The following is a 21,079-nucleotide window of genomic DNA, read 5'->3' as shown; positions in this document are numbered from 1 at the left end:
GAGATCACACCACTGCACTCTAGCCTGGGTGACAGAGCAAGATTGTCTCAAAAAAAAAAAAAAAAAAAAAAAAAAAAAAAAAAAAAAAAAAAAAAAAACATAAAGCAAACCATAAAATTTGGTGTCAGGCAGTCCTAGGTTTGAATCCCAGATAGGGACTCACAAGCTGTATAACCTTAAGTAAGTTACTAATTGTCTTTTAAGATTCCTCTACCATAAAAAGTAAATAAAAGTAGTACCTATGTAAGGATTGTTTTCTTAATGATATGAGAAAATGCATTTTAAGTGCTCAGAACCATGCTTGCCACAGAGCAAGTGCGCAATCAGGGTCAGCTATTGTTAATGTTAATATCTCTACTGAATTATTTTGTAGCATGGCATATAAATAATCACTTTTCTAAGTATAAAAGATTTTGTGTTCAACACTGTAAAAGCCTCCTGTTTGGATATTGTGTTTTAACCAAGTGTCAAAGACTCATGAATGAATGTTGGGAGAGAAGAACATTTGATACATCTACTGTACGTGCAGATTTTATAAATGTGCAACAAAAGCTTTTGTTTTACTTTTCAAAAATTCCATGTTCAAGAGTGATTTTTCTAGGTGACTTTGATTTTATTTGCTAGGTGACTTTGAGTAAGTCTATTTGACCATTTTAATTTCATTTGGTCTCTCTGCAAAATAAGCAGGGCTGGTCTTCAACTCCTGACCTTGTGATCTGCCCGCCTTGGGCTCCCAAAGTGCTGGGATTACAGGTGTGAGCCACTGAGCCCGGCCTGAGCCCACCTTTCATGTTCGGCTTCAGCTTATTCTCCCAACCCTCTTTCCCATGATTTTGCTTTCACTCATTCTGTTATATCCAGACTGATCTTGGCTATTTCCTTAGATCCTGTGTGTTTACTGCATTCATGTTTTACTAATGCTGCTCTCCACCTGGAAGCACTTCTTTCCCTTTGTCTGAATTCTTTCTCTGACCTCACAACCAACATTTGTATGTCCAAATCCTCCCATTCATCAAAGCTTAGTGTGCAAAGTAGAGGTAATCTTTCTCTTTGGGTGAATGTCTCCCTCAGTGGAGCTCCCAGGATACTTTTTGTATGTACCTCTCAGGTGGTCCCTGGTAGACCAAGTGGCACAGAGGTTAGGCACGTAGGACCTTCAGTCATACCACCTCCACCTGAGTTCAAATCTCCAGGGCTCTTTAGCTAGGCAATATTGGGGAAGTTAAAACAAACAAACAAAAACTCTCCATGCCTCAGGTTCCTCACCTGTAAAAATGGAGTTGATGGTAGTTCCTACCTCTTAAGGTTTCTGTTAGGTTTAAACGAGGCCGTAAATATAAACTATTTATTTACTTATTTTTGAGACAGAGTCTCGCTCTGTCACCCAGGCTGGAGTGCAGTGGCACGATCTTGGCTCACTGCAACCTCTGCCTCCCGAGTTCAAATGATTCTTGTGCCTCAGCCTCCTGAGTAGCGGGGATTACAGTTGCACGCCACCATGCCCTGCTAATTTTTGTATTTTTAGTAGAGACAGGGTTTCACCATGTTGGCCAGGCTGGTCTCAAACTCCTCACCTCAAGTGATCCACCCGCCTTGACCTACCAAAGTGCTGGGATTACAGGTATGAGCCACCATGCCCCGCCCAATATAAAGCATTTAGAATAGTGCCTTGCCTATAGTGACTATTTAATAAATGCTAGCTCTCATTATTACTCTTCTCCTTCTACCTCATTTTACAGATATAACATTTCTGGGCCAGGCACAGTGGCTCACATATGTAATCCCAGCACTTTGGGAGGCCGAGGCAGGAAGATTTCTTGAGTCCAAGAGTTTGAGACCAGCCTGGCCAACATGGCAAAACCCTATCTCTACAAAAAATACAAAAATTAGCCAGGCATAGTAGCACATGCCTGTAGTCCCAGCTGTTTGGGAGGCTGAGGCGGGAGGATCTTTTGAGCCCAGAATGTGGAGGTTGTAGTGAGCCAAGATTGTGCCGTTGCACTCCAGCCTGGTGACAGAGCAAGATCCTGTCTCAAAAAATAAAATAAAAATAAAGATAATAACATCTCTGTCTTATGTTCCCTCTTAGAATGTACAGTTTGAGGGTAGGAGGACATGAGCTTGTTCTTTGCTTTTTTTTTTTTTTTTTTTTTGAGATGGACGTTTGCTCCTGTTGCCCAGGCTGGAGTGCAATGGCGCGATCTCGGCTCACTGCAACCTCCACCTCCTGGGTTCAAGCAATTCTCCTGCCTCAGGCTACCAAGTAGCTAGGATTACAGGCATGCACCACCACACCCGGCTAATTTTTTGTGTGTTTTTAGCACAGACGGGGTTTCACCATGTTGGTCAGGCTGTTCTTGAACTCCTGACCTCAAGTGATCTACCCACCTCAGCCTCCCAAAGTGTTGGGATTACAGGCATGAGCCATTATGACTGGCCAAGCCCGTCCATTTTTTGAAGCTCCTTTTTGCCTAGAATATAGTCAACACACAAAATTAATTATTTGACAGATTTCAGAAAACTTAAGGCCAAATGCTTTCCCCCTTTTCATATCCACAAGGTGCCTTTACATGAAATTAGTGATTCCATGAATTAAACAGACTTATTGTAATTAAATGTCAAATTGGACATTAGATTAAACAGTCTATAGTTAGTTGCATGTTAATGCATGTGGTAAGGACAGACATTTTTAAAGAATGTTACATGTGCTGTACGGTTATTTAACAGTAGAGCCTGGACTCTGGCCCAGGGCTCCCGACTCCCAGTCCAGGGCCCATTCCACTGCTCCAAGCTGCCAAATTGTATTATCTTTGCTTCCCATGACTGTGGGTTAGTCTGGCTCTGGCTGGCCATGCACAACAACCAAAGCCACCATGGAGCAGTTCACACCGCAGAGAGCAGCCTCACCCGTGATCCATGAACAAATTGGTGGACAAACATGTATTAGTGGAAAATATTATGTATTTGTCCAAAGTTCCATCAGAGTCAAGTTTTCAGGTCAAATTCAGATCTATTTCTGAGATATTTTCTACAGCTATGTCTTACATCTTTGCAGAGACACTTTTTTGGCCTGTGTTCATGGATTTATGCCAAATAGCAGTTTACCCAACACTGTGATTCATTTGTTTGTTTTCTATACACTGTTTGGCTTTTCCTATATTTGGCTTCAACTGAGGACTCTCAACATATGCTTTGTGTGGCTACTCAGACTTTTTTGTATATATATATACACACACATATATATACACATATATACACATACACATATATATACACATATATACACATACACATATGCATATATATATACACACATACATATACATACATACATACACACACACACACACACACACACACACACATATATATATATATTTTGGAGATGGGGGTCTCACTAGTTTGCCCAGGTTTGTCTCAAACTCCTAAACTCAAGCAATTCTCCTGCCTCAGCTTCTCAAGTAGCTGGGATTACAGGCATTTGCTACTATGCCCAGCTTATTTTGGGATCTTAACATAAAAATAAAATAAAATTAGAACAAAGGCCAGGATTTTTCTAATAATAAATCAGGGACTAGTCTTTTTTTTTTTTTTAACTGAGTATTAACTTCAGTTTAATTCTTCTCTTCAGTGAATTTCACAGCATTAATGTTAAAGCACAATTCAGGTCAAGTAGAATATCAGCTCCTGGTGTGTCATTAATAGTACGTAGTTCATGAATAAGAGCCACACAAAGTAGCACAGGTCCACAGAAATGGGCCTGGAGAAATTAGGCCAAACAGAGCTTAAATAAATTAAGGTATAAGATGCTATCTTCCCCCTGCTCTCAAAGCAGCATGTCTTTTTTTATAACTAACCTAAGACACAAGTAGGTACAAGCCTATGGCATAGAGGGGTGCCAGAAGTCTCAAAAGTTGATTCTCCAACCTTCTTCCTTTTTGAAAAAGAACTTTTAAGTTCAGGGGTACACATGCAGGTTTGTTACACAGGTAAACTTGTGTAATGGGGGTTTGTTGTACAGATTATTTCATCACCCAGGTATTAAACCTAGTACCCATTAGTTCCATTAGTTATTTTTCCTTATCCTTTCCCTCCTCCCACCCTCCACCTTCTAGTAGGCCCCAGGGTGTGTTGTTTCCTCTATGTGTCCATGTGTTCTCATCATTTAGCTCCCACTTATAAATGAGAACATGCCATATTTGGCTTTCTGTTCCTGCATTAGTTTGCTAAGGACAATGGCCTCCAGCTCCATCCATGTCACTGCAAAGGACATGATCTCACTCTTTTTCATGGCTGCATAGTATTCCATGGTGTGTATGTACCACATTTTTTTATCCAATCTATCATTGATGAGCATGTAGGTTGATTCCACATCTTTGCTATTGTGAATAGTGTTGTAATTAACATATGTGTGCATGCGTCTTTATAATAGGACAATTTATATTCCTTTGGGTATATAGCCAGTAATGGAATTGCTGGATCAAATGGTATTTCTGCCTTTAGGACTTGGAGGAATTGCCACACTGTCTTCCACAATGGTTGAACTAATTTACACTCCCACTAACAGTGTATAAGTGTTCCTTTTTCTCCACAACCCTGCCAACATCTTATTTTTTTACTTTTTAGTAACAGCCATTCTGACTGGTGTGAGATGGTATCTCATTGTGGTTTGATTTGCATTTCTCTAATGATCAGTGATGTTGAGCTTTTATTCATATCATTGTTGGCCGCATGTATGTCTTCTTTTGAAAAGTGTCTGTCCTTTGCCCACTTTTTTAACGGGGTTTTTCTCTTCTTGTAAATTTGTTACTTATAGATGCTGGATATTAGACCTTTGTCAAATGCATAGTTTGCAATACTTTTCTCCCCTTCTATAAGTGGTCTGTTTACTCTGTTGATAGCTTCTTTTGCTGTGCAGAAGCTCTTTAGTTTAATTAGATCCCATTTGTCAATTTTTGCTTTTGTTGCAATTGCTCTTCGCATCTTTGTCATGAAATATTTGCCCGTGCCTATGTCCTGAATGGTATCACCTAGGTCCAACCTGCTTCTTGTGTTTGGTGTTCCTACTTCTAGAGTAGTGTTCCATTGGCAGGAGTTTATTCCACAGACTTTTGTCCATTCCTTTACTAATTCCTTCATTCTTCAAATGTTTAGTAGTGCCACTATGTGCAGGAACTAGGAAGAGAAAAACGAATAGGACACAGAACTTTTTGTCTGGGGGGAAGATTGAAATAGGCAGATAGCTAAAATTCTGTGTTTGATGATTATCATGATAGAGCTGTACCTATGGGGCTGCCAGTATAGGAGGTGACCCAGAGAAGGGGTCTCATAGAAAATCACAAGGAGAAAGTGTGCATAGTGGAAACATGGTCCTCACAGGGGACAAGTACATGAGCAAAGACAATGTTGAGTGTGGATATCTCTGACAGGGTGAATGTTTTAAGTTGGCTAGTGGTAATTAAGAAAGTAGAATGAACAATAGCCTTCCAGTTTCACAGAGTAAGCTGGGCAGAATTTGACCCACAAGCTAAGACTTGATAGGAAAGTGAGCGAGAACAGACAAAGACTGGAAACCTGGGCCACTGCCCATCTGGGGCTAAAGCGGGCTCTCGGTTGCTGGAGGACCAACTTAAGGCACTGGAGCCAAAAATGGGTGGTGTCCTGAGACAGGCACTAAAAGAAGATGGTCAGAAAATGCCAAACAAATGTTACCTATTTGGTGATTTGGAGAAAGTGGGCACTGGCTTGCAGCCTTGTATACCAGAGGGAAGCCATAAATTAAGATCTGAATTAATGTGGTTTGTGTAATTAAAACAGGCAAAGCATGTGTTTGGCTTCAGGACTAGGAAGATTGCTGGGTTCCCAAATTATAATCACTCCCACCACTGCACTGTACCCCCAAAGAGCATATGCTCTTCCTCTTACTTAGAATACATCTGTGCCCTCTTCTTTGCCCTTCAAAGCTTGGCACAAGTGTCCCCTCCTTTCCTGATGGCTCAGACTGTTGGGTATCCCTGCTCTGAGCTCCCATAGCAATAAGCACATCCTTCTCCGTGGATCAGCACTCATTGCATTGGATTGTCCCTGTCTATTTAGTTTTCTGTCTCCCTCCCCACTAGGCTGTGAGCTCTCTGAGGGCAGAAACTGCCTTTCATCTCAATATTCCCAGGACTTAACCAAAGACTAAGTACATAGTAGCTGCCAATACATGTCTGTAGGTGGACTGACATATAGATAGACAGATGGATTGAATGGACGGATGGATGACTGACCCAAATCAGTAAGAGTTTGCATTCGCCTTGTAAGACAGACCTTAGAGGGTGAGTACCAAGAAAAATGCTAAATATATTTTAAAGCTGTGGCAAACCATGGATTAAAAAAACAGGTGCTTTAGTCCAATTCAAACCTACTTGCAATTTTGTTGCTTTATGTTCCTGTTCACAGAAGCACTGTAATTTTAGATCAGGGTTTGCTTAGTAAGCAGGTTTCAAAGTTGTGGAATGGGGACCAATCTAATGAAAAGGCTCAAACTAGGAGCCAAGAGGTCTAGCTTCTCTTCCTGATCCATCCCACTTCAACTTCCCGATTATGTAACCTAGATGAGCTTCTTATCTCCTTAGGCTTCCACTCTCTGGCCTCCTGTCTTTCCCCTTTGCACCCATCCTCCACCCAGTTATTTTTCTTGAAAATAAATTAATCATCTTGGTTATTTGCTTTAAAATCTCCTTGTTGCCTCCAGAGCAAAGTCCAGCTTCTCTGCAGTCAAGCAAGGTCATCCTTTGAGACTGGTCATCCTTTGTCAAGTTCCTTATATCCATTACTCCATGGCCCCATTCCTCTAACCAAGCTCTTTCATGTCTTTGTGTTTCTTCTACACATGGGCTCTGATATCAGAACAACTTTTGGCCTGGCGCGGTAGTTCACACCTGTAATCCCAGCACTTCGGGAGGCCGAGGCAGGCAGATCAGTTGAGGTCAGGAGTTTGAGACCAGCCTGGCCAACATGGTGAAACCCCATCTCTTTTAAAAGTGCAAAAATTGGCCAGGCATGGTGGTGGGCACTTGGAGTCCCAGCTACTTGGGAGGCTGAAGCAGGAGAATCGCTTGAGCCCAGGAGGTGGAGGTTGCAGTGAGCTGAGATTGTACCACTGCACTCCAGCCTAGGTGACAGAGCAAGACTCTGTCTAAAAAAAGCATCAATAACAACAACTTTCCACAGTCATTCCACCTGGCGAGCTCCTATTTGTTCATCTTTTAAGACCCAGACAGTGGAGCCCTAGAAGTTGCTTTCTCAACAAGGCCTCTTCTAACTCCTTCAGTGAGTGTGAGCACCTCCTCCACTCTGCTCCCATAGAATTTTCTCTTGTTTATGTCAGATCCCTTATAACCCTGATGGAAATTTGCTTACTCATCCATCTATCTCAGTTGCAAAACTCTTGAGTTCCTCTAGGCCAGGGGCCATTATTAGTTGCCAGCACTGAGAAGGTTCTACAATATATGCTGTTTGAATAAAATCAAATGAGTTATATTGAATTTTACCTGAACTGTCTCCCTAACTGTGACTGTTATTCACTTCTCTCTCTATATATAAAATCTAATTCTAAGATTGGGCTTTGTGAGCCTTGATCAGACAGTAGGCATTATTCTGTCCCCTTCATATTTGGTAACAACACTTAATTCTTATCTCAGCCCTGCAAAGCCCACATTACCATTACTATTACTGCTATTTACTGGCTGGGCACAGTGGCTCATGCCTGTAATCCCAGCACTTTGGGAGGCCACAGTGAGAGGATCGCTTGACCCCAGGAGTTCGAGACCAGCCTGGGTAACATAGTGAAACCAAGTCTCTACAAAAAAATTTTTTAAATTAGCCTGGCACGGTGGTATACCCCTGTAGCCCCAGCTGCTCAGGAGGCTGATGAGGGAGGATTGCTTGAGCCAGGGAGGTGGAGGCTCCAGTGAGCTGTGATCATGCCACTGCACTCCAGCCTCGGTAACAGAGCAAGGCCCTATCTCAAAACTAATTAATTAATTAAATATTACTACCGCCATTACTTTAAAGATAAAGAAACTGAGGTCTAAAGAAGCTAAGTATCTTTCCCAAGTTATACTTAGTAGGTGGTAAAGCTAATATTTACATTGAAGCCCCTTTCTTTCAAAACTTCAAAACTCATGACCTTTCCACAATAGCTCTCCTTCCCCAAAGGCCTGCACCTAGTAGGTTCCCATTTGATTGTTTAATTGCTCTGAACTGCTTTGACTAGGACTGTGAGAGTCAGGCTCACCCCAACTTGCAGCTGAGGTCTGGCCATTGCCATGACTCATCCATGAAAGCCCAGACAGCCGCATCTGAATGCTGGCACACATGGAGATGAGGCCCAGATCCTCTTTCTGGCAGGAAGCTGTGTCTTCTAGCACATGGAACCAGCACTCCATTTCCTGGGATCAGAGGGAGCTCTCAGCAGAGAGAACCTCTCACAATTCATGGGTTTGTCCTGATATCTAGCCCAGAAAATGCTTCCTGGCTCTCTGGAGAATGAGAAATTATTGGCTTCTGGGATGTTTTTCTAATCATTGAGCCCTCAAAGTGAAAGGTCTCTTGGATGGAAGTGAACAGACCAAGTTTACCCAACCAAGCATGGCCTCAGGCAGCCCCCCAGCCACTCTCTACTACTGCCCACGTAACAGCTGGGGCTTCTTCTTGAAAGATGTTCTTCAGCTCCTCGGCATACTTTCCCCCCAAGGGTAGAAGCCTTCCAGGCCCCTGTGCAGCTGACTTAAAGCAGAAATCCCACTGCAGAGCTCCCTTCAGGCTGGAAACTGTGCACAGAGCCCTCAGAAGTTTCCTCTTCCTCTATTTTCCATGGTTGCTGCTAACACTTCAGTTTATGTGGAGAACAGAGGCTCACAAAAGGATGTGTGCTCTTGTCCTGAAAAATGTCCCATAGGCATATAGGCGAGAGCCAGGAGAAGTGTATTTACATGCTTGTGAATACCTATTATGTACCAGCCATCTTACATACACCTTTTTTTCTCATTTAATCATCATGGCAATTATTTTCCTCTTGTAAAGATGTATAAACTGAAACTGACTCTAAGCACAACTGCACTTTTTGTTTTTCATTAATAAAAGAGATATTGTGAAACCTTTGACCTTAGGCTGGAGAAACAGTGACTGGAGCTCAGCACAGGAGAAGATAGGACATAGCCCCAGGTAGAATCCTTACATAAGACAGAGTCTGCTCATTGTCTGAGACTCCATGATATTTTGCATGTGTTTTCCTGCTGGAATCAGGGATTAGATCTGGAGCCCAAATCCAGCTGTCCAGTACTGTGAAAAGGAGAAGCAGTTTGGGTTTTAGAAAAAGTTACTTGGACTAGAAGTCTGAATACATTTGCTTGAGTTCCAGCTCTATTATTTAACAGATGTGAAACCATACTTTGGTTTTCTCGTCTGTGAAGGAGGAATAAAAGTTACCAATCTATTTTAGGGTTAATAGATTGTTTAATAGAACATTAAACAAGACATTTAATAGAACATTAAACAAGACATTGAACATATGTATGAAGGCCTGTAGAGGCCTGGCCTACTCAAAAGTGAGTAATTTTCTTCTCCATTGTCCTTTCTTTGGAGCTCCATCCATGATTGGACTGCACCTCATTCTTCAGATTAGTTTTTCTCCCACCCCTACCTTCACCAAGCTAAATGAAAAACAGTTTGGTATAGAGGAAGGGGCATAGACTAGGAACTTAGTGACTTAAGTTTGAGTCCTCATTTTATGAATTACTGGCTATGAGATATTCAAGTGAGTTGACAAGCCTCAATTTCCTCATCTGTTAAATGGGAATAGGATATCAGTACTTACCTTCTAGGGTTGCCTGAAGACTATGGAAGAAGATGAATACACTAATGCTTTGTCAGTTCTAATGTGCAATACAAATGCAAGTTATTCATCCAGCAAATATTTTTGACCACCTGGTATGGCTCAGGCATGTGCCATGTGATGAGGATATAAAGACAATAAGACATGATCTCTTTTGAGCTTGCAGTCTGATGAGGAGAGAGATAAGTACATGAGTAAATACAACACAGTGTGGTATGTGCCATATCAGGGGAGGGGCAGAATGCCTGAAGCACAAAGGAAGGGCATAGTGTGAGTTATCTATTGCTGCAAAACAAATTACCTCAAAACTTTGCAGCTTAAAGCAACAAACATTTATTATCTCGTATCATTTCTGAGAGTCAGAAATCTGGGAATGGCTCAGCTGGATAGTTCTGGCTCAGGGCCTTTCATGGAACTTTCATGGAATCAAGCTGTGGGCTGCAATCTCTCTCTCTCTCTTTTTTTTTTTAAGAGATGGGGTCTCCCTCTCACTTTGTTGCCCAGACTCGTCTTGAACTCCTGGGCTCAAGCTATCTGCACACCTCAGCCTCATCCTCCCAAAGTGCTGGGATTACAGGTGTGAGCCACCGCACCTGGCCTTCTGCAATTTTTAGAGACTTGAGTCTTGACTAGAGATGACAAATCTACTTCCCAGCTCACTGACATGCCTGTTGGCAGGAGGCTACAGTTTCTTGTCATGTGGGCTTCTCTGTAGGTCTGCTCAAGACGGCTTTTCCCCAGAGATATGCAAAAGAGACAGCCCATCTAAGAAAGCCCCCAAGAGGAAGCTGTAGTGTCTTTTACAACCTAATCTCATAAGCAGCATATGAGATCTGCCATTTTCACTTCTGCCATTTTGTATTGGTCACAGAGACCAACCCTGGTACAAAGCAGGAAGGGACTACACAAGGGTGTGAAAACCAGGAGGTGGGGCTCACTGGGAGCCACCTGGAATGCTTGCTGTCGAAGGTACCCAACATACTGGAAGAGAAGAGGAGCCAGGAAAAGTTTTTTGAAGCTTAAGTTCAGGTGCATTTTTACTGCTTCTCACAGTCTCTGCTGGATATTGGGCTATTAAGAGGGAACATTTTTTTTCTATTTAGATTATTCTGCTATTAAACGAAAATGACATTGTAAATAATACAGAGCAGACTTAGAGCTGTCCAGAAGTGATAATGACTTTGCTGGTGGGTTTCCAGAGCAGCTGCATCCTGGTGAGGTCAGGCCCCACTGGCCCCTTGTATGGCCTTTCAAGTCCATAGACCACTCAGAGATGACCACCAATAACGACTACTTGCCGCTGTTAATAGTGCACCTCACACTGTACTGCAATCATGTGCTTATGTGTCTGATATCCCTCTAGGCTGCCCTGAGTGGGCAAGGAACATATCTCTGGCACATGACTGTGTCTACCATCCAGGATGATGCTTGGCACTGTGCCTAACAGTTGGATGGAAAAAATTAACGGAATTTAAATAAATTCAGAGGACACTGAAAATGCCATTGGCTCAATACAGGTAAATAATTATGTTTATGGAATTAGGCTAGGTGATTCCTGAGTTACAGGCCCTATGATATGTGCTTTGCATATTTTATTTAATACTCATAATAAGCCTATGATAAGTGTAATTATCCCCATTTAACAGATGAGGAAACTAAGGTCATACAACTAGAAAATGGCAGAGCCTGGATTTGACCCCAGGCCTATCAGACTCCAAAGCCTGTGCAACTAATCATATCATATCTAGCGGTAGATCTTCTCAAACAAACAATTGCAGATCTGAGGGACTTTTGGTGACTAAAAAAACAGATAAAAAAATTAAACAGCTTTAAGGAACAATTTGCCCAACATCTAAGAGCCAGGTATTTTCCCTACATACACATGCCTGTGTGTACACACACACACACACACAAACACACACACACACACACACAAACACACACACACACAAACACACACCCCTTATTTTTCCAGGAAAGCCTAGCTTAAGTCCCACCTCTTCCAGGAAGCCTTCCTCGACTCACAGTGATGTTTGTCTCCCTCAAACTCCTGCTGCACTTGCAATGGTGCCATTCAGCTGGTATTTACCCTAAGGAGTCTTGATTTGCAGTTTATCCTGTTTGTATCTCAGGTTCATGGGTTTCTTCTCCATACACTGAGAAAGCTGGACTACTTCCCAAAGGACCTTTTTGTCTTGCATATCGTAGGAGGTACTTCCTTACTCCCCACTGGCACATCACCTCCTTGCAGGAAGGCTCATGTTTTTGCATGTGGCAGGCCCTCACTGACAGCAGTGCTTTTACCCGATCAGGTTGGAAGAGCCCACTCTCTATTGTCTCTTGACTAGATCGAAAATTCCTAGAGACCATTTATTATGTCCCAGCATCTAGTGGAGGGCGTGGAGTATAGGAGATTCTCCATAAGGAAATCCTGGATAAATACATGAGTGAGTGAATAAATGAAAATGGTGGCAATGATTGTAACTTTAATGAAAACCTCTAGTATCCTCGGCATTACTACATTAACAGGAATAATGTCTTCTACTTGTTTTGTGCTTTGCCTTTCTCCAGGAAGCATCTCCTTCAGGCCCTTTTCCTCCCGCCAGGGATTTTGCCTACGGAACTAGGACAGAACACTTGAAATCAGAGTAGGCAGAGCTAGAGACACATGGACAAACTTTGACTTGGCTTGTTTCAAACTGCCTGCCAACCCATCACCCTTCTGTTTGGACTTATTACCACATTACCTTCCTTTACTGCAAGATGTTTTCATAACATGAAGCAGTGCCCCAGCCTACAGCTTTATTTGCACAGGTTATATCTATGATCAGCTTCCTTTCAGATGCCATCCCCCATGTCCCACAGGAGGGGAGGAGGTTGCTCCTTCATCTTAGCAGTGGCATTTCCCCCCTGGATCCCACTGTCAAATGGGAGATTTCTAGGAAGCCTCCTTCAACAGCTGCTCCTACCCAGGATCAGAGGCCTCCTCTTAGTCTCCCTCAGTATCTCTGCTAGGACCTTCCCTTGTTTTACCTTTTTTTCTATTTTCTGCCTTACTGTCAGGAAGGCATATGGTGCAGTAGTAAAGAGCATGGGTTTTGCAGTTAGAGCTGGATTTTCATCCTGGATCTGCCTTTTATTAGCTATTCAGCTTGGGCGAATTACTAAACTTCTTTGGGCTTCAATTTTCTTATCTGTGAACTAGGAAGAATACTATTACCCGCTTCATAGGGTTATTGTGAGGTTTACTACTGCAAGGGGTTCAGAACAGAGCCTGCAAACAATACACACTTCAGTAAATATTATCTATCACAACTATTATATGGTGTGTTGACTGCTGACACTGAGGATGACATGGGTAGCAAGAGACTGGGGTGAGTTTTCATCATCATCAACATTTTGATGGAAAAAGAAAGAAATTCAGATTTACCGGCAGGGCACGGTGGCTCAGGCCTGTAATCCCAGCACTTTGGGAGGCTAAGGCAGGCGGATCACCTGAGGTTAGGAGTTCAAGACCAGCCTGGCCAACATGGCAAAACCCCGTCTCTACCAAGACCAAAAATTAGCTGGGGATGGTGGTGCATGCCTGTAGTCCCAGCTACTTGGGAGGCTGAGGCACAATAATCATTTGAACCCAGGAGGTAGAGGTTGCAGTGAGCCAAGATTACGCCACTGCGCTCCAGGCTGGGCGACAGAGCAAGACTCTGTCTCAAAAAAAAAAAAAAAGAAAAGAAAGAAATTCAGATTTACTGAACAGCAGACTGAGAGCCTTAGTTATCCAAACACATTTAATATTTAGAAGGAACCCAACTTGCTGGAAAAGCTCAGGGCGTAAAGGCGGTTGCTCCACGTCACACAGCCAGGGTGGGAAGCAGGTTTTTCTGACTCATTTCTTTCCCTGTTCCCCAGCAGAACCTTCTGGGGCGCACTGGAGCTTTTTGTTTTGATCTTCTCAGGGATGAACCCATGTGTTTACCTTGATCATTGATGATCAACATCATCAATTGATGAGATGAAGGCCATCCTTTCTCACACTTACAGCTAACACTGCTGTGTATGTTTTGCTTCTACATTTTTCCCACTTCCTTTAAGTGGCCTCAAGATGTTCATTGAGTCCTGCTCCAACTTCTCTTTTCCACTCAGCACCCGTGTCTCTGGTTTCCTGGCAAACTCTTTTTGCTATCTCTGGCCCTATCGCCCTCCTCCTTTTGTTACCCAGAAATTCATTCTCACGGCCTCAGCTTACCTTGTGTCTGGGACTGTCTGTGCTAACCTCAGCAGGATTGGTATCAGAAGCCCAGGCCATGCCTGAGCTGGCTCAGCTTCATGCCAGGCTAGGGCTGGGGGCTGGGGGCTGGTCATAGAGGAACCAGGGGGATGACACAGACAGGAAAGTAGCTTCCCTAGCAGGTGAGGGCAGACAGTGTGCCTAGAGATGCCACAGAAGCAATTGAGAAGTTAGGAATGCTCTGCCAGGGCTCCTGGGAGATCTCACAGGGAGGAAATCTGCAAGGCCTTGGACCTAGGGGAGTTAGGATAAGGCAGGCTGAATGCTAGGTTTTGGGTCAGGAGGTTTTGGGTCAGGAGGAATTCAGTTCCAACAGGATCCAAAAACGGAATGTGATTGGGAATTTTTGAACAGGCCCAGTTTCAGTCTATTTGTAATAATAAACCATTAGATTGTTCCAGAAAGTCCATTATTTTGGCATCCAGACTGAATGATCCAGGCTGCCTCTCCTACACAGAAATTATACTAAAAATCCTTTGGTAGACATTGGGTTCTGATTTTTAGTTCTGAAAACCCAGTCTCTGTACGTAACCCATATTCCATCATCTAAAATATCTAGGACATGATATATGCTATCATCATATTCCATTTTTCTAACTTCCTGGGATAAATACTTTTGCCTACCATCCTATTTCTTCTGTCAAATTTAACAAGTTTTAATTACACAAGTGATTATAAATAAATGAATACATTCTTTGCATTTTATTTTTTAAGAGACGAGGGCCTTACTAGGTTTCACTATGTTGCCTAAGCCTGGTCTTGAACTCCTAGTCTCAAGCGATCCTCTTGCCTCTGCTTCCCAGAGTTCTGGGATTATAGGCATGAGCCACTGCACCTGGCCTGCAAAATGTTTTTAAAATAAACAAGTAGAAAGTAAAAAGTAAAAATCTTACATATTCCCACTCAACCCCACCTTCTTCTGTAAGTTACCGTGCTATCAGTTTCTGCCATAAGTTTCTCTACGCACTTACATATTTAGGAACCTGCAATGGCATACACGGTTAGGGGTTTGGGAAAGAGAGGGGTGGACTACCATGGCACAGGGAAGTATTTTATCCCTGGCATTAAGCCCTTTGCATGTCTGTTCTTGAACTCCTAGCCCCAAGCGATCCTCTTGCCTCTGCCTTCCAGAGTTCTGGGATTATAGGCGTGAGCCACCGCACCTGGCATGCAAAATGTTTCTCAGAATAACCCTATGAAATAGGTACTGCATATTGTCATCCCTACTTGACTGCTGAAGCAGCTAAGGTAATCTCACCCAAAGCCCCAGGACTAGTAAGTAGCCAAACAGGGATTTGAACCACAGCACTTTAACTCCAGTGTTGGCACTGTTTACTGGCTGTGCTATGGGAGCCTCCTGGTGTTCTCTCTATTTTTTACTTAATTTACAGTGTAAATGGACTCTTCTACAAACTTTTCTCCAGGTTAGATAGCTAGAAATGGAAAATTTTGATACATACTTCCAAGTTGCTCTCTAGAAACCGTGATAACAACTGATACTCCCAGAGAGTTTGAGAGTGTCATTTCCCCTGAAGTTTTGCTAATGTTGGATTTTATTGTTTATTCATTTTTTACAACCTGAAGACTAAAAATATTTCAGACTTATTTTAAGTTACATTTCCTTATGTACCCATGAGACTGAACATTGTTATATGCTTATTGACCACTTACATTTCTTCCTCTGTTTAATTAACTGTTCAATTCCTTGCTTCATTTTTTAATAGTTTAATTTGTATTTTATATTCATTGATAAGTACTCTTTATGTATTAAGGATATTAATCTTCTGTTGTATAATTGGCAAGTAATCTGTCCTTTTCACTCTTTAACTTTTGCTTATAGTATTTTTGTTGTATATTTCTGGTTTTTTAATTGAGATTTTATTCGGTTTATAGATCAATTTTTGTTTTTTTTTTAAGACAGGGTCTCACTCTGTTGCCCAGGCTAGAGTGCAGTGGTGTGATCTTGGCTTACTACAACCTCTGCCTCCCAGGTTCAAGTGATTCTCATGCCTCAGCCTTCTGAGTAGCTGGGATTACAGGCATGTGTCACCACGGCAGCCAATTCTTGTATTTTTAGTAGAGACAGGGTCTCACCATGTTGGCCAGGTTGGTCTCGAACTCCTGACCTCAAGTGATCTGCCCACCTTTACCTCCCAAAGTGCTGGGATTACAGGCATGAGTCACCGCACCCAGCCTTTTAGATCAATTTGAGGAGAAATGACACCTTCACATTATTGATCCTCCATTCAGGAAATGGTACATCTCTCCCATTATTTGTTGTTGTTTAGTAAGGTCATGAAGAATATTTATTCCTATATTTAAGTATTTTTATTTTCTAAAATTTCCCGTTCTCTTCATTTGGGAATTAATGCAAGATTTTTACTAACTTTTTAAATATTAGGCATCAAAAACTACTTAGACAACTGTAGGTTTGCTAGTTTCTCACCTTGTCACTGTTCCTTGTATATAGCATCTTCTTTTCTTAAATTTAATTTTCCTTCATGGCTCACTGCAGCCTTGACTTCCTGGGATTAAGTGATCCTCCCACCTCAGCCCCCCAAGTAACTAGGACTACAGGCACATGCTACCACATCCAGTTAATTTTTGTATTTTTGGTAGATACAGGGTTTCCCTGTGTTGCCCAGGCTGGTCTTGAACTCCTGAGCTCAAGCAATCCGCCCTCCTTGGCCTCCCAAAGTACTGGGATTACAGGTGTGAGCCACCACCCCGGCCTAGTTTCCTATTTCCATTTTGAGGTGCCTGACTTAATGTTCTACAAGCAGTAATCAGTTTAAATTTTGTGGACCAACTAGGTAAAGCAGTTAATTATAATTATGCTATCATCATGCATGAATATACATTAGAGTGGTGCAAATGCTTTATTTGAGATAAATTTTTATGTCCTCTAAATTAAAGATTGAGTAGCAAATCGAAATTAAAACTAGAGGAAAAGTCAAAGTTCACCTTCTAGCTAGAGTTGTTATAGCAACTCCAGGAAATAAATCTGCATACACAGAAGGGAGAGCAAGAGAAAATAACTGTTGATCTCTAATATGAGCTCTAGGCAATTGTTTTTCTATTTCTTCAATACTTTCATGTTGAGATGACTAGGATTATGATTCTTTCTTTCATGTATTCCATTATATTCTCTGTCATATTTTTCTCTTGAAACCTGTCTCAGGAAGAATCAACTTTCTGAAGGAGACAGAATCATCATGCCTTCACATTCCTAAAGATGGGGTAACCTGGGTTTGTTCTTTCTCTCTCTATATATATGTTTAATATGGAACACTTCATGAATTTGTGTGTCATTCTTGTGCAGGGGCCATGCTAATCTTCTCCGTATCATTCCAATTTTTAGTATATGTGCTGCCGAAGCCAGCATGGGGTTTGTTCTTTCTGATCCCATTTGGTTCATTCATTCATTCAACAAATATTCCTTGAGCATTTATGACACTGGTTTTCAACCTGGTTACATAATAAAACCACCCAGGGAACATTTCCAAAATACCATTACCAGGTTTCACCCATAGATTAATGGAGCCCAGGCCAGGCCTGTACATTTCTAAAGCTCCTCAAGCAATTAAGATGCATATGAGGGTTGAACACAGCTGCCCCATGATATATTAGGTCCTGTGCAAACAAGAGGGGATGCAAATAAAAATAAATAATTGCTAACATTTATTGAGGGTGCACACTGTATGTCAGGCACTATTCTCAGTTCCTTATGGGTTTTAACACATTTAATCCTCTCAACAACCCTACAAGGTATTACTGTTTATAGACAAGAAAACTGAGGCACAGAGAGGCTAAGTAACTTGTCCAAGGTAACACATCTAGGAAGTGGCATCTGGAGTCCATCCTCTCTTTTCTATGGCCCATCCACAGTATCATAGTCAAGTAAATAATGAAAAGACAGGAGATATGTATCAAGAAGAACACCTAGAGTGACAGGTGGAGGAAGGAGATAGGGTCAGGAAGGCTTCCTGTAGGAGGTGGCAGTTCAATTAAATAGAGGAAAAATGGAAACCAGAGAGCAAAGTGGGGTACAGAGTTCCTCAGATTCCTTCCTCCCTTGTCTTGCTACACAACCTGCCTCCCTCCCCTAGTCCTGGGAGCTCTGTCCTCCCTCTTCTCCACACTGAAAACACTGGAATGCCCTCAATCATCCTTAATATGCCTAACATTTCAACTGGGAAGTCTGAAGTCATGCACAATTACTCATGCAATTTTTCCTCCAGACAATAGGTCCTTCTGTGTGCTTCTCATTCAAATATATAAAGCTTCACTCTGTTGTTTTAAAAAAGTCTTTGTTGTAGAAACAATTCACAAATGTGTCAAACACACATTGGTTCCCCACCCCCTTCTCTGTCCCCTCACCTGATTGGGATGCTAGCTTGCCAGGGACGTGTGCCCACTTGCCGACTCTGCCCAGAATGGAAGCTAGCCCTGCATTTCACATCACTTCTAACCAAGTAGGGCTCTAAGTTTAAGTTTGAGGTTAACCTCAGGGGGCATTTAGCCACACCTGCCACCTCCTCTGCCTGGCCTCATGGGTGGGAACAGACTTCTTTTGGAGAAAGGGAAATGCTTGATGCTGCTAATTAACTGTGGGAGGAAAGGAAGCCCTCTCCAGACAGCAAAAATACCAAAGAAGAACATTATAAAAAGCAGCCTTTGTACCAGCCAGCCACATCATTCAGCCCAGCCCAGGCTGGGGCTGGAGGGAAAAATAACAACTCTAGCAGCCACTAAGTTCCTGCATCCCAAGTGGGCACCTCAGGAGGTCATGCCCTGAGTGAATGTCTGCTAGAGGAGGGGGTTCCAGGACGGTGGCGGGAGTCTGGCTGCCTTCCCAGCTGGTTTTTGGCAAACCACAGGAAGCTGCCTGAAGCTGGCATGTTTATATGGTGACTTGTGAGACTTCCTTAGAATAGCAACAGGTCTGTTTCATAACTTAAAAGCCAAAGAGTGTGTGTCCATGGAGGTATGAGGTGGAGCTGCAGGACCTTACTTTAGAGTCTGGGTAATCTCACTAGGGCAGGTCGCTTTCCCACCCTGTGCTTATCAATTTAGGGGCTGATCCTCACTCTGCAGATGGGACTATCTTAAACAGAGAAGTGTCAGCTTCCAGCCAGCCCAAATCCCTGAGGCTTGATTGCTACAGGGCTGAACTAAGTTTGAGTATCTGGGAGACTCAGGGTTCAGCAGGGAGTCTGTTGGGGAGGGCTGGGGTTGCTTCAAGAATTGGGATTTGTTCACAAGTAGGAGGGCAGTCAGGCTTTTTGGCTGGGACCTTAAGCTCAAGAGGCTGCAGAATTTGGCTGCTGACCAGTACAGGGGAATGAGGTGAAACCTGAGGGTGGCCTGAGAATGGAGGATTGAGGAGCTTAGAATTTGAAAGCTGTCAGAGCTACATTGGAGGCTCTTGGAAGGCATGTTTACAGGGTCTGCCTTATTTTATAGGGGCTGGGACTGATTCCCAAGACTCTAAATTGCCAAAAGCAGGAAGTTGGGGTACTAGGATTTCATACCAGGCAAGTTTCCCAGTCTCTCACTCCAATAACATTTTTGCATCTGGGCAGACAAATGGGAGATTCCACCACAGTAATACCACATGTACAGGATCCTTGGCAGCTGCGCGTGTGGTGGCACATCCCTTTCCCTCCCTTCCTATTGATATAGGATCTCCTTTATAGATTCTTCAAGTGTCAGAACTGAAAAGATTTTAGAAGCCATGTAGACCAATTATTTTATTTAACAGGAAAGGAAACAGAGAACCAGAGAAAAATGACTGGCACAAGGGCATATAGCTAGTTAGTAATCACTAGTATTGAAGCCAGTTTTGTTGACAACCAGTCCAGGGCTTTTTCCACAACACCACGCCCTTTATAACAAATAACATTCGTATATCAGGGGCTTCTACCCATTCCATATTGTATTTCCCATTTTACTCTCTTCCATGGAGAGTACCTTGAACTGTACCTTGCTCATGGTTAAACTACTTTCTGAAAAGTTTCCAATATTTGGTATTTTGACAAAAAAATAAATAAATAAATAAATAAAATAAAACCCTATTAGGTTAGAAAGAAAGAGGTTATCACAGCCAGAGGCTGCCCATGTGAAATGTGACCAGGGTGGAAGAGCAAAGTCCCAGAGTCTAAGGCCTTGATGCTCAAAGTTGTCCATGGACCAGTAAGCATGGGTATCACCAGGGAGTCCCACCCAGATCTGCGGAATCAAAACCTGCATTTTAACAAGAGCCTACATGATTTGACTAAGTTTGAGTAGTACCTCTTTGAGGCAAGGCTCTGCAAAAATTCCTTCTCTTCCTCTTCCTCCCCAAATGCGTAACCTTCTACCACCTCCCTCTTGCTCCTTTCTTCCACATGCTCTGTCCCCAGTTTTACTATGTTAATCTGGTTCTGCCTTTTCTTGAAATTTTAAAGCCACAAAGGGGTGGAGTGGGGGTGGGGAGGGGGGACTGGATGTATTTTAAAAGGGGACTGAAAATGGAAACTTTTGAGAAAAATAAAATATGGCCAATTGGGAAGATCTTTTGCAGCTCCAATGTCACGTTGTTAATGTTGAAATATAAACATCTACTATGTTTATATTGGCTTACTTGTAAAATCATCAACTTTGGTTATATTTAGGAATTTGATGGCTTGGAAAGCACACTGAAAAACTCTGAGAACAAAAATATTTTTCCCCTTAACTTTATGGAAAATAAGAAAATCTCTTTCAAAAAAAACAATTCCAAGAACGTCTTTTCTCTACTTTCTTTATTATCCCCATCCACCATGGCACCATGGTACATTTTTTCCTCTTAGCTTTCTTACTCTCTTTGTTCCTAGTTCAGTTTTCTCATTTCATTAACATTTTTAAAAATTGGGGTTTTCTTATTA

General features: G+C 42.4%; 1 pseudogene, besides 3 other annotated features; it reads right to left on the bottom strand.

Annotated features, from left to right (window-relative positions):
• Nucleotides 17,449-17,556, bottom strand: RNU6-560P (RNA, U6 small nuclear 560, pseudogene; annotated as a pseudogene).
• Nucleotides 18,917-19,417: an enhancer, noted in NCBI's record as "H3K4me1 hESC enhancer chr11:85862408-85862908 (GRCh37/hg19 assembly coordinates)". NCBI's record gives its function as "activates a minimal SCP1, AML or CMV promoter by ChIP-STARR-seq in naive H9 embryonic stem cells {active_cell/tissue: H9 hESC(naive)}" and the evidence as "EXISTENCE:reporter gene assay evidence [ECO:0000049][PMID:30033119]".
• Nucleotides 18,917-19,518: a biological region, named in NCBI's record as "CRISPRi-validated cis-regulatory element chr11.4681". NCBI's record gives its function as "regulatory_interactions: EED | PICALM".
• Nucleotides 19,008-19,518: a transcriptional cis regulatory region, noted in NCBI's record as "candidate enhancer chr11.4681 targeted for multiplex CRISPR interference". NCBI's record gives its function as "positively regulates expression of the PICALM gene with high confidence and the EED gene with lower confidence in K562 cells {active_cell/tissue: K562}" and the evidence as "EXISTENCE:mutant phenotype evidence [ECO:0000015][PMID:30612741]".

The sequence above is a fragment of the Homo sapiens genome, chromosome 11 (genome assembly GCF_000001405.40).
Source record: "Homo sapiens chromosome 11, GRCh38.p14 Primary Assembly".
NCBI lineage: Eukaryota > Metazoa > Chordata > Mammalia > Primates > Hominidae > Homo > Homo sapiens.
Note: the sequence above shows the minus strand (reverse complement) of the source record. Positions and strands in the feature narration are given on the sequence as shown.